This window comes from Homo sapiens, chromosome 7 (genome assembly GCF_000001405.40).
Source record: "Homo sapiens chromosome 7, GRCh38.p14 Primary Assembly".
NCBI classification, from domain to species: domain Eukaryota; kingdom Metazoa; phylum Chordata; class Mammalia; order Primates; family Hominidae; genus Homo; species Homo sapiens.
Window position 1 is genome coordinate 75866129 of NC_000007.14, and position 23763 is coordinate 75889891.

Here is a 23763-nt window from a genome sequence, read left to right on the forward strand (position 1 = left end):
AAAAAAAAAAAAAATTGCACCCATTTTCGATCTCATCAGCAATGTTTTTGAGTGCTTGTTTCCCATTCCTTCGAAAATATAAATGGGTCATTAGTCATTACCCTCCCAGCTTAACCTCTCTAAGCAACTTCCCACTGTCCTTGGAAACAGCATCTACTTTCCTCGCCATGGCCTCCAAGGGCTTGCCTACACTATTTGACTCCTGCCTGTCTCGCTTCCCATGCCCTGCTGAAGGCAAGTGTTGGACACATCTAAGGGATGCCAGCCAGCAGGGTTGGGAGGGAGTTGGCATTTCTTCCCAAGGGGATGTGTGCTTGGGCAGTGGACCTGCAGACTGTGCCCATCCTATGAATGTGGGGAAAGAGAGCATGGCACATGAATGCTAGGGAAGGCAGGCTGCAGTTTCATAACTTTGGGGGATTGCCCGAAGGTACGATGGACCTGGGGAAATTGGGGCATTGGGGTGCCTGTTTAAAGCCATCGTCTGTAAGTGAGCCATGTCACAGGCCAGCCAGCAGAGGACAGTATTCTGCTTTGGGATGAGGCCATTTCTCCATCAGACCAGAGGAAGCCAAACCCAGCTGTCCATCTACCACGGGGCAGTGAGGACCCGGCGTGGGGGCTGCAGAGCAGTTAAATGAGCCGGAGTCCGCAGCTGGCAACCAACCCCTGCGTTCTACCGATGACAGCCTCCTGTTGAACAAGGAGCCGCACTGCTCCCTGGGGCACGGGCCTGAGAAGCTGGGACCACCCGGGGTTGGGGGCTGGAGGGACCTGATGTCCTGCTCCCCTGGGATGCCCAGGTGGTGGATGAGGTCCAGGTCCCACCCAACCCTCAACCATTCCATCCCTGCAGTCATTCCGTGCCTTCCCAAGGTGTCTGCAGATGTGCAGTGGAGGTTGGGGGTCAATCCAGGAACCACCCGAGAACTGGCTAAGTGGGATGCCTGGCACTGGTCCCAGAGCTGTCTCAGCTGTGCAAAGTGAGATATCACCTTCTAAACCCTACGATGCACCTGTAAAGGGAAAATGTGAAATCTCAGAACCCCCGAAACTTATGCCACAGGGAAAGCTAAGCTTAAAGGCTGAGTCACGCAACACACTCTCTCTCTGTCTGTCTGTCTATCTGTCTGTCTGTCTCTCTCTCTCTCTCTCTCTCTCTGTGTGTGTGTGTATGTTAGACAGGGTCTTGCTCTGTCACCCAGGCTGGAGTGCAGTGACGCAATCATGGCTCACTGTTGCAGCCTGGACCTCCTGGGCTCAAACAATCCTCCCTCCTCAACCTCCCAAAGTGCTGGGATTACAGGCATGAGCCACTGCACCCAGCCGGGAAGAAGTATTGATACAAGCAACAACATGATGAATGTCAGATCATCTGGCTGAGTGAACGAAACTAGGCCAAAACCACAAGTGCATATTATACGATTCCATTCATATAACATTTTAGAAAATCTAAACGAATCTACAGTGACACAAAGCAGCCATTGGTTGCCTGGGGATAAAGAAGGCAGGGATTATAGAGTAGAAGGGATTATAGAGGGGTGAGATATAATTTTTGGGGGTGGTGGGTATGTCATTATCTAAATTGTGGTGATAGTTTCATGGGTGTGTGTATATATATATGTATGTATATGTATATATATGTGTATATATGTATGTATATGTATATATGTGTATATATATGTGTGTATATATATATGTCAAAATGTATCAAAATCTATACTGTAATTATATGTAGTTTATTGTAAGTAAATCAAACCTTTTTGGTTTTTTCAAGATGGAGTTTCATTCTGTTGCCCAGGCTGGAGTGCAGTGGCACAATCTTGGCTCACTGCAACCTCCACCTTCTGGGTTCAAGCGATTCTCTTGCCTCAGCCTCCCGAGTAGCTGGGACCACAGGTGCCTGCCACCACACCTGGCTAATTTTTGTATTTTTAGTAGAGACGAGGTTTTGGCATGTTGACCAGGCTGGTCTTGAATTCCTGACCTCAAGCAGTCCTCCTGCCTTGGCCTCCCAAAGCGCTGGGATTACAGGAGTGAGCCACCACACCCGGCCTCAGTAAATAAAATTTTAATAAAACTTTTTTTTTTAATGCCAATATAGTCATGTCTGTAATCCCAGTGCTTTGGAAGGCCAAGGCAGGAGGATTGCTTGAGGCCAGGAGTTCGAGACCAGCCTGGGCAATATAGCTAGAACTTCTGTTTACCAAAAAAATGCTGATGTGTCAAAAATAAATATTTTTCATCACTGGCTCAAATTTTAATATCTTCCTTTGCCATGTATACTGCATGAGGTGGGGAATGGGGGAATGGAATAATTTGGGAAAGTAAAGATGATCAAGGCTCAGTGTTAATTCTACAATATATTGCTTTCATTGCCTTAACCATGCATGCTTATTACAGCAAAGTCAGAACAAGGTTGAGACGGGGTCTCGCCGTGTCGCCCAGGCTGGAGTGCAATGGCGTGATCTCGGCTCACTGCAGCCTCTGCCTCCCAGGTTCAAGCAATTCTCCTACCTCAGCCTCCTGAGTAGCTGGGATTACAGGCGCGTGCTACCACGTCCGCCTAACTTTTTGTATCTTTAGTAGAGACGGGGTTTCACCATGTTGGCCAGGCTGGTCTCGAAGTCCTGACCTCGTGATCCACCTGCCTCGGCCTCCCGAAATGCTGGGATGACAGGCGTGAGCCACAATGCCCAGCCTATAACATTTTTATAAATGTTTTTGAGTGAATGGAGAAATTAATTACTCTGTTCTGTGATGCTTGGTGTTTGTCAGCTTTAAATCCCCCATAGCACTCAGATCTTAGAGACAGAACTTTGGTCTTTATGGGTGAATTACAACCAATTCCATTTACATTACTTTCATTTCTCTATATGCTAAAGTTACCTTTTTTTTTTTCTTCAGTCTATTGCCCAAGCTGGAGTGAGGTGGTGCGATATCAGCTCATTGCAGCCTCCAACTTTTGGGCTCAAGCAATCCTCCCACCAGCCTCCCGAGTAGCCAGGACTACAGGCATGCGCTACCATGCCAGGCTTATTTTTAAAATTTTTTGTAGAGATGGAGTCTCACTATGTTGCCCAGATTGGTCTCAAACGCTTGGCCTCAAGCGATCCTGCCTCAGCCTCCTAAAGCACTGGGATTACAGACGTGAGCTACTTATTGATAAATTTCTGGATTATAGAAGGTCATATAGGTTTAAATTGATAAATTGAAACCAGCAGATTTCTGGCATTTAGAATGCTTCCTCAACACCTTTCCAAGAAGGCTGGCTGTGGCCAGGCATGGTGACTCAAACCTATAATCCCAACACTTTGGGAGGCCAAGGCGGGTGGATCACCTGAGGTCAGGAGTTTGAGATCAGCCTGACCAACATGGTGAAACCCTGTCTCTACTAAAAATACAAAAACATTAGCCAGGCGTGGTGACGGGTGCCTATAATCCCAGCTACTCAGGAGGCTGAGGCAGAAGCATCGCTTGAACCTTGTAGGTGGAGGGTACAGTGAGCCAAGATCACGCCACTGCACTCCAGCCGGGGGGATAAAGTAAGACTCCATCTCAAAAATAAAAATAAAAATAAAATAAATAGAAACCAGCACATTTCTAGTATTTAGAATGTTTCCTCAACATCTTTCCAAGAAGGCTGGCTGCCTTGCAGGAATTTCAGCACACGTGCCCACAAATACAGGACCAATGCCTTTGCCGCCTGGGTTATACTCTACACTTGAGCTGCTCTTGTTTTTATATTATAGACTGCTGTTCATTTAGCTTCGTCATGATTGATTCGTTTGTGGTGGGTTGCTTGTCCTGCTGTAGAATGTGTAGTAAGATCTATTTGCTTCAAAAGTGGTTTGGAGCCAGGTACGGTGACTCACACCTATAACCACAACACTTTGGGAGGCTGAGGCAAGAGGATGGCTTGAGCCCAGGAGTCTGAGACCAGATTGGCGAAACCCCATCTCTACAAAAAAAAAAAATTAAAAAAATTAGCTGTGCATGGTGACATGTGCTTGTAGTACCAGCCACTTGGGAGGCCGAGGCAAGAGGAACACTTGAGCCCAGGAGGTGGAGGTTGCAGTGAGCTATGATCATGCCACTGCACTCCAGCCTGGGCAACAGAGTAAGACCCTGTTTCAAAACAAAAAAATAGTTTTAGTCTATAACATTCCAGGAAGTAAACTTGAAGCCATGTCACAATTCAAATATGAACTGCCTATACTCCTATGGATCACTTGAGGTCAGGAGTTCAAGACGAGCCTGGCCAACATGGCAAAACCCCGTCTCTACTAAAAATACAAAAATTAGCCGGTGTCGTGGCATTCACCTGTAATTCCAGCTACTCAGGAGGCTGAGGCAGGAGAATCTCTTGAACCCGGGAGGCGGAGGTTACAGTGAGCCTAGATCGCACCACTGCACTCCAGCCTGGGGGACAGAGAGAGACTCTCTCGATTAAAAAAAAAAAAAAGATATATCACAGCCCCACCCTCCCACCCACAGTTTTTCCCTTGTGCAGTGACTCAATTGCAAATGCCAAGTTCCTCCTCTTCCTCCCCAAGTTACAAAGTGAAAACATATAGCGTAGGCAGGTTGCGGGGGGCCTATCAATCCACAAAGTTTAGGAGCCCCTGGTGTAGCAAGAAGAACCACGAACCTACCGTCAGGTGAGCTGATGTGGATTCTGCTGCTCTATGGCTGTGTGAGCTTGCCAAGTCACTTTACCTCTCTGAGCCTTTAGATTCTTCTAAAAATGGAGCTGTTATATCCAATTTCCAGATTTGTTGTAAAAATTAAACATGGGTTAGGCGTGGTGACTCATGCCTGTAATCCCAGCAGTTTGGGAGGCTGAGGTGGGAGGATGGCTTGAGCCCAGAAGTTTGAGACCAGCGTGGGCAACATAGTGAGACCGCTTCTCTAGGAAAAAATAAAAAAAAAAAAAAATAGCTGGGTGTGATGGCACATGACTGCGGTCCCAGCACCTTGGGAGGCTGAGGTGTGTGCATCACCTGAGGTCAGGAGTTGGAGACCAGCCTGGCCAACCTGGTGAAACCCCGTCTCTACTAAAAATACATGGCCGGGCGCGGTGGCTCACGCCTGTAATCCCAGCACTTTGGGAGGCCGAGGCGGGCAGATCACGAGGTCAGGAGATCGAGACCATCCTGGCTAACATGGTGAAACCCCATCTCTACTAAAAATACAAAAAAAAAAATTAGCTGGGCGTTGTAGGGGGCATCTGTAGTCCTAGCTGCTCAGGAGGCTGAGGCAGGAGAATGGCGTGAACCCGGGAGTCGGAGGTTGCAGTGAGCCGAGATCGTGCCACTGCACTCCACCCTGGGCGACTGAGCAAGACTCCGTCTCAAAAAAAAAATAAAAATAAAAATAAAAATAATAAAAGAATAAAATAAATTTTAAAAAATTAAAATTAAAAAAATATACAAAAAATTAGCCAAGCATGGTGGTGCACGCCTGTAATCCCAGCTACTTGGGAGGCTGAGGCACGTGAATCGCTTGAACCCGGGAAGCAGAGGTTGCAGTGAGCCGAGATCTCGCCACGGTACTACAGCCTGGGCAACAAGAGTGAAACTGTCTCAAAAAAAAAAAAAAAAAAAGTGGTAAGTGGTGCTTTTGGAAAGTGCTTTGTAAACTACAGAGTCCTCTACAAAGACTCTTCTGTTGTCCTCCTTTTGTAAACCCAAAGTGCTCAGCACAAGGCCTGGCACACAGGAGGCACTAAATAAATACTTACCAAATTAATAAATCAGTGGCCAGGTGTGGTAGCTCACGCCTGTAATCCCAGCACTTTGGGAGGCCGAGGCGAGCAGATCCCTTAAGGTCAGGAGCTTGAGACCCGCCTGGCCAACATGGTGAACACCCCATATCTATTAAAAATACAAAAATTAGCTGAGCCTGGTGGTGCATGCCTGTAACTCCAGCTACTCAGAAAGCTGAGGCAGGAGAATCGCTTGAACCCGGGAGGCGGAGGTTGCAGCGAGCCAAGATCACACCACTGCGCTCCAGCCTGGGCGACGTGCAAGACTCTGTCTCCAAAAAAAAAAAAATAGGAAGAAAGTTATCTCTTAAGTCAAGTGTGTCTCCGCATCATTTCTAGCCTTCTGCCTTAGCTCTCCCCTCTGCAGTGACACAGAATCAATCATCTTCCTCTCCTCCCAGTAAGCCCTTCAGATAGTTCAGCCAGTGGCCATGACCCCTGAAGCTTCTCCAGGGAGGCCTCCTGGTCCCTGCAACTGTTCCTCATCAGACATCTTTGGAAGGTTCCCCTCTGTCCCAGTCCTGGTCACTTTTTATTGCACAAGTTCCGATTTGCCTACATCTTTTTTCAGAGTATATGTCTAGAAGAAGAACCGGAACTCTTAGGGTGACCTGACAGGCACAGAGAGGAAGGGACCACCCCATCTCTTCCTTTTTCCAAGCCCCAGACCTCAGTGACAACAGCTCAGGATCCCAAGTTCTCAAGATGCTATTTTTAGCCCACTCCTGATTCATATTCTGCTTCCTGCTGGGTAAAACCTTAATTATTCTTTTGGCTGGGCTCGGTGGCTCACACCTATAATCCCAGCAGTTTGGGAAGCTGGGGCGGGTGGATCACTTGAGGTCAGGAGTTCAAGACCAGCCTGGCCAGCATGGCAAAACCCCGTCTCTACTAAAAATACAAAAAATTAGGCAGGCGTGGCGGCACGTGCTTGTAGCCCCAGCTACTCGGGAGGCTGAGACAGGAGAATCACTTGAACCCGAGAGGCAGAGGTTGCAGTGAGCCGAGATCACGCCATTGCACTCCAGCCTGGGCACAGAGGAAGACTCCGTCTCCAAAAAAAAAAAAACTTTATTTTTCATGCCCACTGCTGCGTCATGAGCGATGTTAACTTAATCTTTAACTGAACTTTAGCAATTTTATCAGTTATGGATATAGGCAATGAAACACAGTCTTATTACCAGTACCAGTAACTTTGTCACCAGTAGAAGTCACAGGTATGTTCATACCATGTTCCACTTATAGAAAACTCAAAAAAAATCATTTATGCTTCAAAATTATGGTAGCTATCAGGCCTGCTGTTAGATCTTGTTATTTAATGCATCCATAAAGCAGCACATAGAGTATGGTTTTTGTTTTTGTTTTTTTTTGAGATAGAGGTTTGCTCTTGTTGCCCAGGCTGGAGTGCAATGGTGCAATCTTGGCTCACCGCAACCTCCACCTCCTGGGTTCAAGTGATTCTCCTGCCTCAGCCTCCCAAGTAGCTGGGATTACAGTTGCCCACCACCACACCCAGCTAATTTTTTTGTATTTTTAGTAGAGACAGGAGTTTCTTCATGTTGGTCAGACTGGTCTTGAACTCCCAACCTCAGGTGATCCACCTGCCTCAGCCTCCCAAAGTGCTGGGATTACAGGCACGATTTTGTTTTTATTAATATTTTGATAACTACAGGCTTCCTTGGTAATTCAGTGTATTTTATTTTATCCATTTAAAAAGCAACATTCTTGGCCAGGTGTGGTGGCTCACTCCTTTAATTCCAACACTTTGAGAGACCCAGGCAAGAGGATTGCTTGAGGCCAGGAGTTGGAGACCAGACTAGACAACATAGTGAGCCCCTGTCTCTACAAAAAAAAAAAAAAAAAATACAAAAATTAGCCAGGTGTGGTGGCACGTGTCTGTAGTCCTAGGTACTCGGGATGCTGAAGCAGGAGGATCGCCTGAGCCCAGGAGTTGGAGGCTGCAGTGAGCTATGATTGTACCAGTGCACTCCAGCCTGGGCAACAGAATGAGACCCTGTCTCAAAAAAAAAAAAAAAAAAAAAAAAGCATCATTTACATGAGGAGTCCCTAGGTTTCATCAGATATGTCAGATATGACAAAAAGGAGTAAGAACTTCGGCCAAAAGCCAAAAAATTCAAAGAGCCTGCCTGCCTGCCTCCCTTCCTTCCAGACATTTCCTGAAGGCCTACTCTGTGCAGGACTCTACATGGTGCTGTCCCTCAAGAAGCTCACAGTCTGGGAAGAGAGACAGACACAACAAACAGGATTTTTTTAAAAATATTTTTTTAAATATAATAGAAATGGGGGTCTCACTATGTTGTCCAAAGGCTAGTCTCTAACTTGTGGGCTCAAGCAATCCTCCTGCTTTGGCCTCCCAAAGTGCTGGGATGACAGGTGTGAGCCACTGCACCCAGCCTTTCTTTTTTGTTTGTTTGTTTGTTTGTTTGTTTGTTTGTACAGACAGGGGTCTCACTATGTTGCCCAGGCTGGTCTCAAACTCTTGGGCTCAAGTGATCCTCCTGCCTGGGCCTCCCAAAGTGCTGGGATGACAGGCGTGAGCTGCTGTGACTGGCCAAAAACCAGGAAGTAAATACCGTGTTATACTTGCCATGGTAGAGATGTGTGTAGTGGTAGAAATAGAACAACCTGGCTGGGCACAGGGGCTCACGCCTGTAATCCCAGCACTTTGGAAGGCCAAGGCAGGTGGATCATGAGGTCAGGAGATCGAGACCATCCTGGCTAACATGGTGAAACCCCGTCTTTACTGAAAATACAAAAAAATTAGCCAGACGTGGTGGCGGGCGCCTGTAGTCCCAGCTACTCGGGAGGCTGAGGCAGGAGAATGGCGTGAACTCGGAAGGTAGAGTTTGTAGTGAGCCAAGGTCGCACCACTGCACTCCAGCCTGGGCGACAGAGCGAGACTCCGTCTCAAAAAAAAAAAAGAAATAGAACAACTTGGCCAGGTGCAGTGGCGCACGCCTATAATCCCAGCACTTTGGGAGGCCAAGGCAGATGGATCACTTGAGGCCAGGAGTTTGAGAGCAGCCTGGCCAACATGGCGAAACCCTGTCTCTACTAAAAATACAAAAATTAGCAGGGCGTGGTGGCATGTGCCTGTAATCCCAGCTACTGGGGAGGCTAAGGCAGGAGAATCACTTGAACCTGGGAGGTGGAGGTTGCAGTGAGCCAAGATCACGCCACTGCACTCCAGCCTGGGCGACAGAGTAAGACTCTGTCTCAAAAAAATAAAAAGAAATAGAACAACTTTAGAGATCTAATGACCCAAGTTCAAATCCTAGCTCTTCCACTAACTCACAGTGTGACCTCCTCACATCCTATTCGTCCCTCGGTCAATCTTATCTGTTTTCTTCATCAAAACCCTGCAAGATAAGACTTAGTTCCCATTTTATAGATGAGGAAACTGAGGCTCCCTTACCCAAGATCACTCAGGCAGCGAGTGAAAGAGCCAGGGTGAGGTCCTGCTTCCTCCTGACTTCCAGCCTGAGCTCCACCAGCTCCACACTGGCTGCTTCTCAAATGCTAATGTAGGAGCCATTAATGTCTCCTTTAAGGGAACATTAAAGGAAATGGCCAGTATAACATGGTATTTATCTCCTGGTTTTTGGCTTGGCTCATGCCTGGAATCCCAACACTTTGGGAGGCCCAGGCACGAGGATCACTTGAGCCCAAGAGTTTGAGACCAGCCTGGGCAACATAGTGAGACCTCTGTCTGTACAAACAACAACAACAAAAAGGCCCAGTGGGCTGGGCGTGGTGGCTCAAGCCTGTAATCCCAGCATTTTGGGAGGCTGAGATCTCAGGCGGATCACCTGAGATCGGGAGTTCGAGACCAGCCTGACCATCATGGTGAAACCCCGTTTCTGCTAAAAATGCAAAATTAACCGGGCATGCTAGCGCATGCCTGTAATCCTAGCTACTCGGGACGCTGAGTCAGGAGAATCGCTTGAACCGGGGAGGCGGAGGTTGCGGTGAGCCAAGATCACACCATTGCACTCCAACCTGGGGAACAAAAGCGAAACTCAGTCTCAAAAAAAAAAAAAAAAAGTGCAGTGTCTCACACCTGCAATCCTAGGTTTCCCTTAAGGGAAACGTGAATATCTCCTGCAACTGCCCTCTCCGAGCCTAAACCCTCTGCACAGCAAATGCAGAAAACTCTTTCTACAGAGAGCTAGGTGGGCTGACTGGCCATGCCATCCTAGACTGGTGTACCTCAGGTCTCCTCTTCAAAAAATATCTTGAAATTCTTGCCAGAAATTCAGTGTGAAATGCATTCGGGATGGTGGCTGTTGTTATAACAGTCCCCAGGGGTCTCAATTACGTGAGAACCCTCGGCTTCTGGACAAGAGACAAGGAAGGGAAGTAGGTCACATCCCAAAGGCATCAGGGCTAATAACTTTGCATTGAACATTTTCTGTGGCCCCACTGTGTGCTAGGTGCCAGGGCTGTGGATACAGACACAGGTATAAATCAGACATGGCTTCTGCCCTTGGTAAGCTCACAATTACGGGCACAAATATGCAATGATAGTATAATATGGGAAGTGCCTCAGGAGGCTGAGGCAGCGAACTGCTTGAACCAGGGAGGAGGAGGTTACAGTGAACAGACATTACAGCACTGCACTCCAGCCTGGGTGACAGAGCAAGACTTCGTCTCAAAAAAAAAAAAAAAAAATTCCTGGAAGACTTGTTGCCTAATTTTAAGTTACTTAACTTCTCTGTATCTCCATTGCTTCATCTGTAAAACGGGCGTAATTACAGAACCAGCCTCACAAGGGTTGTGAAAATGTAATGAGTAACTACATAAAAAGCACACAACAGGCTAGGCATGGTGGCTCACACCTGTCATCCCAGCACTTTGGGAGGCCAAGGCGGGACGATTGCCTAAGCCCAGGAGTTCAAGACCAGCCTGGGCAACAGAGCAAGATCCCATCTCTACAAAAAAGAAGCAGCTAGCTAGGTGCGGTAGCACGCACCTGTGGTTCCAGCTACTTGGGAGGCTGAGGCAGGAGGATACCATGAGCCCGGGAGGTCAAGGCTGCAGTGAGCTATGATTGTGCTACTGAAGCAGGACACACAAGCCCCAAAATTTAGCCTCCTTCCTTCAGAGCCAGCAGGAGCTTCTAAGCTATGGGGGGCAGCAGTTACAGCTGAGTCAAACCAAAGCCTGCAGCCAAGGGCAAGGAGCTGATAACACTAGGGTGGGTGTGTGGGGAAGGAGCCAAATACTTCTACCATGTGAGGGGAGGGAGTACTGGGCAGGGTCACTGGAGAAAGCGAAAAAGGTAGTACCCTTGAAGGTACTGCTGGGCACAGTGGCTCATGTCTGTAATTCCAGGACTTTGAGAGGTCAAGGCAGGCTTATCACCTGAGGTCAGGAGTTCGAGACCAGCCTGGCCAATGTGGTGAAATCCCATATCTACTAAAAATGCAAAAATTAGCTGGGCGTGGTGATGCACACCTGTAGTCCCAGCTACTTGGGACTCGGGAGGCTGAGGCACAAGAATCACTTGCATCTGGGTGGCAGAGGTGGCAGTGAGCAGAGATCACGCCACTGCACTCCAGCCTGGGTGACAGAGTGAGACTCTTGTCAAAAAAAAAGGAAGGTCTACCTTAAACAGCTGTTCTCCAGCAAAAGCACTTTTCAAACTGTAAAGTGCTGAAATAGATCTCGGTTATGAGTGTTCTATTACATCCCTAACTTTTGAGTCCCTTCCATTGAATCCCTCTCCCGTTTCCTGTCCCTTTTCCTTTTTTTTTTTTCCGAGATACAGTCTTGCTCTGTCACCCAGGCTGGAGCGCAGTGGTGCGATCTCGGCTTGCTGCAACCTCCGCCTCCTGGGTTCAAGCGATTCTCCTGCCTCAGCCTCCGGAGTAGCTGGGATTACAGGCACGCGCCACCATGCCGGGTTAATTTTTGTAGTTTTATTAGAGACGGGGTTTCACCATGTTGGCCAGGCTGGTCTCTAATTCTTGACCTCGTGATCCGCCCGCCTCGGCCTCCCAAAGTGCTGGGATTGCAGGCGTGAGCCACCGTGCCCAGCCTCCTGCCCCTTTTCTTCAATATGAAGATAAAGCTGCCCCTGGCTGTACTGGAGGCCAATTCCGGGCCATAGCAGGAGGAACTGAGTTCTAATTCTGTCTTTGCCATGTAACTGAATTACCCAGGGCCCTCCCTAGTCCTGTTTCCTCTTTGGTGTAATAGGGATGAATACAGATGGGAAGATCGTGATATGAAAGAGTTCTGTGAGCTGTAAGGCATAATAATCATGAGGTATTATTACAGGACCAACAGGTGCCTAGGCCCGCTGTGCAATAACAGACCAGTTACACTGAGGAAGCAGGGTTATCAGCAGAAAAAGGGTTTAAAGATGGCAGGGTGCCTAGGAGGAGACGCAGGGAGACCAACAAATCCATCTTCCCCAAGGAGTTCCGGGCTGGGATTTTAAAGGGCATTGTGAAGGGTGAGGGGCTGGAAAATTGGGGTCATCGACTGGTCAGGGTAAGGGGGTTGAAATCCTCAGGATATGGAAACTGCAGTCCCCATTGAGTCTTGCTTCTGTGGGCTCCTTCAGAACAACTGGTGTCAGTAATTATGCTGGTATGCGGGACCTGAAAGAATATCTCCAAGGGAAAACGTTTCATAATGTTCAAGTTGTTATCTATGGAGTTAAGGGGAATTGTAATCTTGTGACAGGGTCTACGTGATTCTAGGACAGACGATGGGCACCTATCATAGCTGATACACAGAGCTATGAGCAAGCAGGTCGGAGAGCAAGGTGACCTAGTGATGAACGCAGAGTGTGCTGCAAGCTTCGTTTATTTTCGTTTTTCCCCCTCCCTTCTTCCCTGATTAATTTCCTAAAGTTTATAGGAGCAGTTTCAGTACCAGCCCGAGTAGGATGGAATCAAACACGGTGCTGGAACATTCCTACCCGGAAGTGGCCCCGACCCCCCTCCCCCCGTCCCGGCCTCCCACGCACGGGGGGGGGGGGGGGGGGGGCTGATCGGCGCTACCGGATTGGACAACTTGGCATGGGGCGGGGCCTCTGGGAGGCGTGGCCTCCGGCCGGCTCCTCTGCTGTTGCCAAGGGAAACTGCCGCGAGGAGGCGGAAGGAGCAGAGGACCGGCAGCCGGCGTCGAGGCGGGGCGCGGGAACGACGGCGGCCATGGCGGCCTCGGGGCCCGGGTGTCGCAGCTGGTGCTTGTGTCCCGAGGTGCCATCCGCCACCTTCTTCACTGCGCTGCTCTCGCTGCTGGTTTCCGGGCCTCGCCTGTTCCTGCTGCAGCAGCCCCTGGCGCCCTCGGGCCTCACGCTGAAGTCCGAGGCCCTTCGCAACTGGCAAGGTGAGCAGGGGCGGGCCGGGATCGCGGGGCGAGTCCTTGTCCTCCGACTTTGCCGGTTCCTGGGCTCTAGCCTCCGGGACTCGCCCCTTCAGGCCTCACCGCCAGTCTCCCCCTGTCTCGGTCCTCATCACCATGCCCGCCCCCCGGAGGACCGACCTCCAGCACCGTCTCTTGCTCTCCGTGTTCCACACCTTTGTCTGCAGACCCCATCTTCGTCATCACTGTAATCCCTTCCCTACCCGAATTTGTTCCCTTCCCTGTCGCCACCAGACTGGTTAAGGCCCCAAATCCATTCGCTAGCAAATCCATGCTCGCTCTCCAAGGGTAAAGATTTTTCGTCTCCCCCTCCCATTTCACATACACACCTACGTCTGCTTTAGGCCTAAGCCCCACTGAAAAACGTTTTTCTCTCACCTACATCACGACAATTGGACTTTATCCACAAACCCCTATAAGCCCTATAAACGTCCTGCCCTCTTGAGATTTGGAATTTCTTCTGCTTTTTCATCTGTATCTTAATCTTGACTGCCATTCCCAGCTCATGGGGGTACCAGGGTGTCTTCTGCCTTTGGAGAGAAGTGTTTGTTTTTCTCTAGGGGAGAGAAATTTTGCAGACCAATTAAGTATAAACATCCATTCCTGAAAGACATTCCTAGTCTCCGTGTCTTCCTCATTTTCTCGAGAGGAACACAGGAAATTTGCATATCTCCTGCTGTTTTGCAAAGCACACACACTGATATGTATTAATTTCGTTTAACCCTCACAAGGATCCCATGACGTAGGACCTGTTATTGGCCCGTTATCTAGATAAGATTGAGGTTTCATGCAGAGAATCGCAGAGCTGTTGCGTCATGCAATTGAGATAGGAATCTATATTTTTTTTTTTATTCTGTGATGTTTTGGAACTAGAGCCTTCGGGTAGATAATCTCCAAATCATGTACAGTTGCTTCTAGAATCTTTTCATGTTTATACTTGGAATTTCAGTTTTGGAAATACTCAACAAATAATGAAGTACTCTTCAGATAATGAAGCCTCTGGTGATGGCCAGACTGAGGTATATGGTTCCATAGCCTGCTTCCCCACTCCAATCTAAAACTGTTCCCCCCACCCTAGGTATACATAGCACCACCTCACAGACAGAAGCAAAATGCCAACCTAACCTTAACCTCCCACTTTCTGGGGTTCACTGCTTCCCTGGGTGTGGGTTTCGTGGATATGTGAGCGTTAGAGACGTAAGGGACCTTTGAAGTCCTCAATCTAACTCTTGTTACTTTACAGTGAGGAAACTGACGCCTAGAGGACCTGTGACATGATTAAACTCAGCCAGCCTGGATGTAATAGAGCCAAGATTCCACTCCAAGTCTTTAGACTCCCAAGTCCAATATTACCATCAGTTCTTTGGTCTCTCTCCTTGAGTTTAGTCGTATTTGGGCATGCAGGGACATAAAAATACTTAAGAGATAACCACTTCTAAAATTTTTTTAGAGATAGGGTCTTCGTCTTACCCAGGCTGGAGTGCAGAGATGCAATCATAGCTCACTGCAGCGTTCAACTCCTGGAATCAAGCGAGCCTCCTGCCTCAGCCTCCCAAGTAGCTGGGACTACAAGTACACATCATCACACCTGACTAATTTTTAAATTTTTTTTAAAGACGGGGGTCTCACTATGTTACCTAGGCTGGTCTTGAACTCCTGGGCTCAAGTGATCCTTCCACCTAAGCCTCCCAAAATGCTGGGATTACAGGTGTGAGCCACCATGCCTGGCGATAACTGCTTTTAGAAAAATAAAAGGCCAGGAATGATGGTTCGTATGTGTAGTTTCAGCACTTTGGGAATTCAAGGCAGGAGGATCACTGGAGGCCAGGAGTTCAAGGCTAGCCTGGGCAACGTAGCAAGACTTTGTCTCTACAAATAAAAATTTAAAAAAAGGAAAAGGAGGATTCTTTGATGTCTTATTACATATAAAGCATCAGTTTACCTGTGAGATCGGATAAGCACTTTCTGAGGAGACTTATAATTTCTATAATCTTTATTGTTAATGATAGTGTTATAATTCTTACAGCTGCAAAATAATTCATGGTCCCTTTTTTCTTCCTCTGAACAGCCACTATGGAAGGAGGGGTCAGGATTACAGCAGAGGAGACTGGCACACAGAGTGTTAAGTGACACCCACTCAATCCACCCCGAAGCTGTTACACTTAATTAACCCTCAAACTGCCCAGTGAGGTAGGTCAGTATGAAAACCTGAAAAAGGATTATAAAGCACTTTACAAATTCAGAGACTGCCCTCTACCGAAAAGTATTATTTTTTTCCCTCTGGAAGTCAGTTACCGCTAAGAGTTGCACCAGGCCTGGGGAAGTGTAGGGATTAGATATTCATGCCTCTCCTTTGAGGCTCTGGGTCCTTCATTGTTGAACGCACTGCTTGTATTGCCTCCTGCTGCGACTCACTGGCTCTCACTTCTCTGTCACGGAGGGGGGCTCTCTGCCTTTCCTAGGCGGCTTATAACCTGGCTTCCCTCCTGGGAGCAACCCGCCGCCAGGCCTCTAACCCGACTCCCTCTGCAGTTTACAGGCTGGTAACCTACATCTTTGTCTACGAGAATCCCATCTCCCTGCTCTGCGGCGCTATCATCATCTGGCGCTTTGCTGGCAATTTCGAGAGAACCGTGGGCACCGTCCGCCACTGCTTCTTCACCGTGATCTTCGCCATCTTCTCCGCTATCATCTTCCTGTCATTCGAGGCTGTGTCATCACTGTCAAAGCTGGGGGAAGTGGAGGATGCCAGAGGTTTCACCCCAGTGGCCTTTGCCATGCTGGGAGTCACCACCGTCCGTTCTCGGATGAGGCGGGCCCTGGTGTTTGGCATGGTTGTGCCCTCAGTCCTGGTTCCGTGGCTCCTGCTGGGTGCCTCGTGGCTCATTCCCCAGACCTCTTTCCTCAGTAATGTCTGCGGGCTGTCCATCGGGCTGGCCTGTATCCTTCCTAGCAGAGAGCTATAGAACAACGCATGTCAAAGGGTGAACCAGGCTGGAGGGTCTGGGGTGTCAAGTAGATAAAATTGGGCTTACTTTGTATTTTTTCGAAACAGAGTCTCTGTCACCCAGGCTGGAGTGCAGTGGCAGGATCTCAACTCACTGCAACCTCTGCCTCCTGGGCTCAAGCAATCCTGCCTCAGCCCCCTGAGTAGCTGGGACTACAGGTGTGCACCACTACACCCGGCTAATTTTTATATTTTCTTTTTAGTAGACACAGGGTTTCACCATGTTGCCCAGGCTGGTCTTGAACTCCTGGTCTCAGGTGATCTACCCACCGTGGCCTCCCAAAGTGCTAGGATTACAGGTGTGAGCCACCGTGGCCGAGTCATATCTGATCATAATTTTTTTTTACTTTTTTTTTCATATCTGGTAATTTTTTATTTTATGCTAGACACTGAATGCTGTATTAGGGGCTCTAGATTTTGTTGTTTTCCTTTAAAAAATGTTGACTTTTGTTCTGATAGGCGGTTAACTTACTTGAAGATTGGCTTGAAACTTGAGGTTTGTTTCTAAGCTCTTTTCGGGAGAGTCTAGCATAGCCTTTATTCAAAGGCTGAATCTTTGTGGCTGCCTAATCAGTGGTGGGTGACTTAGGTCAGACGACCAGGATACCACCAAGTTGCTGGGGATGGTGACAGGGTATGGAGGAAGCACAGCCAGAGAGGCCCACATGAAGCTCACATGGTCGCACTGAGGCAGGTGCCCTCTATTTGAGATAAAAGGACGAGGTGTTAGTCCCTCAGGATGATACTGGTACAGCCTCCTGCCTTATCCTGCTACACCAGCAGAGGCATGTCCTGGCTTCTGACTGACTGCAGTGGCTAGAAGGGTGCAAGTGGTGGCACACATGGGTGTAGGAGAAGGGACAGCATTAATACCCCCTGCTGCTGGGCGCATTCATTCCCGGTGAGGCACAGTGAGTAGAAACCTTTGGCTCTGGGGTCAGGCGCAGTGGCTCACGCCTGTAATACTAGCACTTTGGGAGGCTGAGGCAGGCAGATCACGAGGTCAGGAGTTTAAGACCAGCCTAGCCAATATGGTGAAACACTGTCTCTACTGAAAATACAAAAATTAGCTGGGTGTGGTGACGGGCACCTGTAGTCCCAGCTACTCTGGAGGCTGAGGCAGGAGAATGGTGTGATCTGGGAGGCGGAGCTTGCAGTGAGCCAAGATCACACCACTGCACTCCAGCCTGGGCTGCTAGAGTGAGACTCCATCTCAAAAAAAAAAACAAACCTTTGGCTCTGGGTTTCCCCTGAGCTGCAAACTCCAGCCAGAGTGTGCAGCGTGCTAAGCATGAAGGCTTCTGTAGAGTGAGTGGGAACCTGTGTTCTCCCCGGGGAGTGTTCGGCCCTCCTCCCTTTGCTGCCTCCAGTTTCACTTAACACGCCAACCTCAGATGGCCTCACCTACTGCTATTCCATCGACCTCTCAGAGCGAGTGGCACTGAAGCTCGATCAGACCTTCCCCTTCAGCCTGATGAGGAGGATATCCGTGTTCAAGTACGTCTCAGGGTCTTCAGCCGAGAGGAGGGCAGCCCAGAGCCGGAAGTAAGTGACAGAACTCTTAAGTGCTGTTAAATCTTTTTTAAAAAAAAAATTATTTTTTTTTTTTGAGACGGAGTCTCACTCTGTCACCCAGGCTGTAGTGCAGTGGCACAATCTCGGCTCACTGCAACCTCTGCTTCAGGTTCAAGTGATTCTTCTGCCTCAGTCTCCTCAGTGTCTGGGATTACAGGTGCCCACCACTACATCCAGCTAATTTTTTTGTATTTTTAGTAGAGATGGGGTTTCACCATGTTGGCCAGGCTGGTCTCGAACTCCTGACCTTGTGATTTACCTGCCTCGGCCTCCCAAAGTGCTGGGATTACAGGCGTGAGCCACTGCCCCCGGCCAAATGCTGTCAAATCTTATTCTGTTTTTTTATTCTTTTTTTTATTTGAGGACAGGGTCTTGCCCTGTTGCCCAGGCTGGATTGCAGTGGTATGATCATAGCCCGCTACAGCCTCACACTCGTGGACTCAAGTGATCCTCCCACCTCAGCCTCCCAAGTAACTGAGACTACAGGCACATACCATCATGCCTAGCTAACTTAAATTTTTTGTAGGGACAGGGTCTCCACTGTGTTACCAAGGCTGGTCTCAAACTCCTGGTCTCAATCCATCCTTCCTTGATTTCTCAAAGTACTGGGATTACAGGTGTGAGCCACTGAGCCTGGCCTAACCTTATTATTAAAGCAACTCCAGGGCATGCAGAGGGTGTGGCTGGTTTATTGCCGTAAGTGATAAAGAAATGAGGTGCGGCAGATTGGAAAATAATGCACAGATGTCTTCTGAGCATTCTGGATTCTGCACAACTGCTTCTGAAGTAGCAACAGCAGGAAAGGGAAGGCATTTGAGGACACTTAACATGTGATCCTGAGTGACTTGTAGATAGGCTGGGCAGGAGGGCCCCCATCTAATTGACATTAGACACATACCTGCTGCAGGTCAGCCTGGGCTGTGACACACAATAGCCTCGATAAGTGCAGATAGGGCTGGGTGCGATGGCTCACGCCTGTAATCCCAGCACTTTGGGAGGCCAAGGTGGGCAGATCATATAAGGTCAGGAATTTGAGACGAGCCTGGCCAACGTGATGAAACCCCATCTCTGCTAAAAATACAAAAATTATCCAAGCGTGGTGGTGGTTGCCTGTAATCCCAGCTACTCAGGAGGCTGAGGCAGGAGAATCACTCGAACCTGGGAGGTGGAGGTTGCAGTGCACCGAGATCACACCACAGCACTCCAGCCTGGTTGACAGAGCAAGACACTGTCTCCCAAGAAAAAAAAAAAAAAAAAGGTGCAGACAGTCCACACAGCCAACTAGGCTGCTTAGGAGGTGGCCCAGCCCAGGTTTTCTGGTGAGGTTTACTGTTTTCCAGTTGGCTGATTAACTCACAGATGGAAAGTGCTGGTAAGCCGCCAGAGCTTGTGTGGCCTGGCTGCTTCATTTTATAGAGGAGGCCCAAAGAAGACAAGGGTCTTTCTCACCCACTCTGTTTCCAGGTAACAGAGTCAGGAGAGGGGCCATCTGGAAGCACGTCCCCTGCTTAGGAGGCCACCTCCCTCCCTCTCCCCTGTTCCCAGTGCCTCCTGCCTCTGAGTTCTCCGCTGGTTTCTGTCCATGCTGAGACCTCACAGTGTAGGATTTTTTCTTTCCTTCAGTGGTCCTCCCCCCAAAAAAGGAGCTCGCTGGGAAAGGCGTGTTCATCCATTTTGTATTGCTATAAAGAAATACCTGAGCCTGGGTCATTTATAAGAAAAGAGGTTTATTTGGCTCATGGCTTCGTAGGCTACACTAGGATCATGGCACCGGCCTCAGGCAGCTTCCAATCATAGGGCAAGGGGAGGCGGCACCACACATTGAGAGAGGGAGGGAGGTGCTGGGCTCTTAAACACCCAGCTCTTACCTAAACTCAGAGGGAGAACTCATTACTACGGGGAAGAAGCCAAGCCACTCACGCAAGGTCTGCCCCCGTGACCCAGACGCCTCCCACTGAGCTCCACCTCTAGTGCTGGAACACTGGGAATCACGTTTCTTTTTTTTTGAAATGGAGTCTCACTCTGTGGCCCAGGCTGGAGTGCAGTGGCGTGATCTCAGCTCACTGCAACCTCCACCTCCTGGGTTCAAGTGATTCTCCTGTCTCAGCCTCCCAAGTACTTGGAATTATAGGCGCGTGCCACTATACCCGGCTAAAGATCCATTTCAGCACATGATTTGGAGCAGAGGAAACATCCAAAGTGTATCAGAAGGCAAGGTGCTTGGTCCTTGGCCCTTTTTGGCCCGCCACCAGCTGTGGAGTAAATTTTCCCCTGCACGCTGGCCTGGATGTGGGGTTTTTGTTGAATAGGAAGCTGCCCTTAGAGCTTCTTCCAAGAGGTGCTCCCAGCTGTCAACAGCTCAGAGCCCTTGGACTATTTTTCTAAAAGGCCAGGAGGGCTGCTGGGAAAACAGAAATGCGGACTCACCGCATTATTGCTTCAGGCAAGTAATTCCTGGGGTCTCAATGTGGGGGAGACTGTACATTTAGGACTAGGTGTTTTGTGGGTTTTAGTTGTTCTCATTGAATCTGGAGAACTGTCTGTCACCAAGGAATCCCCTCTGTAATAGCTGATGGTGGTCTCCAGCTGTATCTCACATACAAGAGCTCACTCTCCAAGACTGGCCCTGATGAGAAAGTTCTTCCATGCTGAAGGGCCGGGCGCGGTGGCTCACACCTGTAATCCCAGCACTTTGGGAGGCTGATGCGGGTGGATCACGAGATCAGGAGATCGAGACCATCCTGGCTAACACGGTGAAACCCCATCTCTACTAAAAATACAAAAAATTGGCCATGTGCGGTGGTGGGCACCTGTAGTCCCAGCTACTCGGGAGGCTGAGCCAGGAGAATGGTGTGAACCTGGGAGGTGGAGCTTGCAGTGAGCCGAGATCGCGCCACTGCACTCCAGCCTGGGCAAAAGAGCGAGACTCCGTCTCAAAAAAAAAAAAAAAGAGTTCTTCCATGCTGAATTGCAATCAGCCTCACAGACACTGCCACACCCAGTGCCAGGTCTGATCCTGCCTCACTGTGACAGGCAGATCTTAGGGTTTAAGAGGAAGATGGTGTTCCTTCTGTGTTCCCCACGTGACATGGAGTCCAGTCCCTCAGGTCTGGTGCCTGCTGCAGACACTCAGAATATTGTGTTTCAGGCAGCCTGACAGTGGGTCCAGGGCCATGTCATGACACGCATGTTTATTTTGTCAGCAAGATGGCCGTTTGGACAGCTTGTCTCCTCAGAGGCTCTTGTTGATAGATAATTTTTTTTTTTTTTTTTTTTTTACACATGGTCTTGCTCTGTTGCCTAGGCTGGAGTGCAGTGGCACAGTCATAACTCACTGCAGCCTCAAACTTCTGGGTTTAAGCAGTCCTCCTACCTCAGCCTCTTAAGTACCTGGGACTAGAAGCATATGCCACCAGACCTGGCTAATTAAAAAAAAAAAAAAACAATTTTTTTTTTTGAGACAGAGTCTTGCTCTGTCACCCAGGCTGGAGTGCAGTGGCACAATCTTGGCTCACTGCAACCTCTGCCTCCCAGGTTCAAGCGATTCTCCTGCCTCAGCCTTCTGAGTAGCTGGGACTACAGGCGCCTGCCACCACACCTGGCTAATTTTTTTTTTTTAATTTTTAGTAGAGACCGGGTTTCATCATGTTGGCCAGGCTAGTCTCGAACTCCTGACCTCAGATGATCCACCCGCCTTGGCCTCCCAAAGTGCTGGGATTGCAGGTGTGAGCCACCATGCCCAGCCTGAATCCGTTCTCTTTGGGCAGAATTGTCGAGCCAGCCACACAGGCACTGGCAGCTGTGACCTGGTCCCAACGCTCCATCTGGTTTAGAAGCTGCTGTGAGCAGGTCACCCCTCCGGTGGTCTCAGTGGCAGGTCCAGTGTCCTTTCATACAACTCCCTTGCTGCAGGACTGCAACTGGCCCCACCCTCCCTGGGCATCTGTGGTCTGATTGGTTGAGGTTAACCTTTCTCCCACTTGGTACTTAGAGCAAGTCACAGAAAACATCCAAGGCATGTTGTACTAGAAAGCGGGGGCAACCTCAAGCACAAGATGCCATGACCTTGCCAAGACTCGCTGAAGGACCATTTTCTCTCTTGTTCCATTCCAGACTGAACCCGGTGCCTGGCTCCTACCCCACACAGAGCTGCCACCCTCACCTGTCCCCAAGCCACCCTGTGTCCCAGACGCAGCACGCCAGTGGTCAGAAGCTGGCCTCCTGGCCCTCCTGCACCCCCGGGCACATGCCCACCTTGCCTCCGTACCAGCCTGCCTCCGGCCTGTGCTATGTGCAGAACCACTTTGGTCCAAACCCCACCTCCTCCAGTGTCTACCCAGCTTCTGCGGGCACCTCCCTGGGCATCCAGCCCCCCACGCCTGTGAACAGCCCTGGCACGGTGTATTCTGGGGCCTTGGGCACACCAGGGGCTGCAGGCTCCAAGGAGTCCTCCAGGGTCCCCATGCCCTGAGAGAATTTCTAGGGAAGTCATCTCACTTGGCCTTCTGAAGGTCCTCCCTAAGAGTCTCCTGACAAAAGTTACTTATTGAACACCTCTATGTGCCAGGCTCTGTGTTGGGTACTTTGATCAATGCCCCTGTTTCAGTCTCATCTGTACTCACGGCAGCCCTGTGGAGTACGGTGTACTGGCCCAGCTTACAGATGCAGAAAGCGAGACGTTCTGCCATCAGATAAAGTCACGTGGCTCTTTAGTAACACGGACAAGGCTCCTCGCCAAGGAACTCGTGGCAGAAGAGGGCAGCAGTTGGCAGTAGCTGCCGATGTCTGTCCCCAGCTCCACCATTCCTCCCTGTGGCTGTGCCGTGCTCGTGGTTTCAGTGTCCGTGTGTCCATGTGTCTGCCCTTCAGGAGCTCGCAGCTGGTGTGCTTGGCGGTCCCAGGCCTGTGTAGTGTCTCTCCCCTGCTGCGGGCGCCCCCACCCCGATTCCTCTCCCCAGAAGCGGTGGGATGGGCCCCCATGAACTGCAGCAGCATGCTGAGGTGTCCATGTTGTCTGCCTTTGTATAAAGAAACAGCCTCTGACCTGCCGTGCTGGCGTGTGCTTCCTTTGTGGTCTGGCTGGGGAAGAGGGAGTGCGCTGAGATCTGGGCAGTGGCAATGTGTGGTGTGGCGGCAGAGAGGAGAGATGCACCAGGGCCAGGTCAGGCAGGTGACCAGGGCCCAGTGGGTCAGGAATGGGGGTCTCGTGGGGAGCAGGCAACTGAGATGGGTACCAGCAGGAGCCACTGCTGCCCTGAGAGAGAGGGGTGTTGCCAGAGCCCAGAAGCTGGGACTACAGTTAGGAGGGCTGCTGGCAGGGCTGTGCCAAGAAGGACATGGGCACTGCTGGCGATGTCCCTGAAGCAAGACGGGAGAAGACGCTGGCTTTACCACCAGTGTCTCCTGTTGGCCATGTTGACCAGGAACCAGGAGTGAGGGGCGGGGGGCCTCTATGAGACAGTGCAGGGCACTGATGAGTGTGGCTGAGCTGTCACTCACCTGGCCAGCCCTTGAGGACAGCTGGGGCTCCTCACGGCAGGCTGTGTTGAGAAGGCATGCCAGCTGCCTGGTGTTTTGTGGACCTAGTAACACGTGGCCTTCATTTATCCCAGGAGCTGGATGGCCCATTCTAGACTGGCTTTCTGATAGGTTTTAGGTCTTTGGACATGTATAAGACAGAACCCCAAGCCCATCCAGCCTGGTGAGGGTGGGGCCGTGACGGGCCCACGCCTGGGGGGGCCTCAGACATGAGCAAGAAGGGGCCTGCGCTGGGGTGAGAGGGTGTGCCACTGTGTGTGGCCCTGGTTTTTAAATCTCTTTGTTCCTTGGGACTTTTCCTTAGTCTGGCCACAATGCACAACACAGCCTGGAGTCAGCTCACAGTGGGACCCTTTCTCACCCTCACGTGCATTTTGGAAGCTCTGGAGGCCATCCCAACCCCTTCTCCCATTTGCCTGTCAAATCATCCACTAATATGCCCATGTCCGGAAACCATTCACTGATTCTGTGCCAA

General features: G+C 49.8%; 1 protein-coding gene across 9 annotated transcripts, besides 5 other annotated features; it reads left to right on the forward strand.

Moving 5' to 3' along the window:
* Positions 403 to 697: an enhancer, noted in NCBI's record as "tiled region #1050; K562 Activating DNase unmatched - State 8:EnhW". NCBI's record gives its function as "activates a minimal TATA promoter and a strong SV40 promoter by Sharpr-MPRA in K562 cells {active_cell/tissue: K562}" and the evidence as "EXISTENCE:reporter gene assay evidence [ECO:0000049][PMID:27701403]".
* Positions 12602 to 13210: an enhancer, noted in NCBI's record as "H3K27ac hESC enhancer chr7:75508048-75508656 (GRCh37/hg19 assembly coordinates)". NCBI's record gives its function as "activates a minimal SCP1, AML or CMV promoter by ChIP-STARR-seq in naive H9 embryonic stem cells {active_cell/tissue: H9 hESC(naive)}" and the evidence as "EXISTENCE:reporter gene assay evidence [ECO:0000049][PMID:30033119]".
* Positions 12602 to 13286: a biological region, named in NCBI's record as "H3K27ac hESC enhancer GRCh37_chr7:75508048-75508656".
* Positions 12757 to 13006: a silencer, noted in NCBI's record as "silent region_18300". NCBI's record gives its function as "represses an Ori minimal core promoter by ATAC-STARR-seq in GM12878 lymphoblastoid cells {active_cell/tissue: GM12878}" and the evidence as "EXISTENCE:reporter gene assay evidence [ECO:0000049][PMID:35858748]".
* RHBDD2 (rhomboid domain containing 2) lies at positions 12906 to 22798 on the forward strand. Of its 9 annotated transcripts, NM_001346186.2 has the most exons (6): positions 12906 to 13132; positions 14118 to 14187; positions 15237 to 15358; positions 15701 to 16108; positions 17570 to 17720; positions 21864 to 22798. In NM_001346186.2, exons 4-6 carry the CDS (start codon positions 15946 to 15948, stop codon positions 22219 to 22221), a joined length of 672 nt encoding a protein of 223 aa, NP_001333115.1. In that variant the 5' UTR covers positions 12906 to 13132; positions 14118 to 14187; positions 15237 to 15358; positions 15701 to 15945; the 3' UTR covers positions 22222 to 22798. The 9 variants fall into 9 exon arrangements, 7 of the variants coding, with proteins under 7 accessions (NP_001333115.1, NP_001035547.1, NP_001035546.1 ...); NM_001040457.3 differs by lacking the exon at positions 14118 to 14187; XM_047420655.1 differs by lacking the exon at positions 12906 to 13132 and having other exon boundaries at positions 15237 to 15362.
* Positions 13107 to 13286: a silencer, noted in NCBI's record as "silent region_18301". NCBI's record gives its function as "represses an Ori minimal core promoter by ATAC-STARR-seq in GM12878 lymphoblastoid cells {active_cell/tissue: GM12878}" and the evidence as "EXISTENCE:reporter gene assay evidence [ECO:0000049][PMID:35858748]".

Bases quoted from the DNA above. Each gene is read 5' to 3' on its own strand.
- RHBDD2 (NM_001040456.3), top strand. From the start codon at position 12,955: ATGGCGGCCTCGGGGCCCGGGTGTCGCAGCTGGTGCTTGTGTCCCGAG. The intron at 13,133-15,700 runs GTGAGCAGGGGC...CTCCCTCTGCAG, and splicing joins GGCCCTTCGCAACTGGCAAG to TTTACAGGCTGGTAACCTAC. The intron at 17,721-21,863 runs GTAAGTGACAGA...GTTCCATTCCAG, and splicing joins AGGGCAGCCCAGAGCCGGAA to ACTGAACCCGGTGCCTGGCT.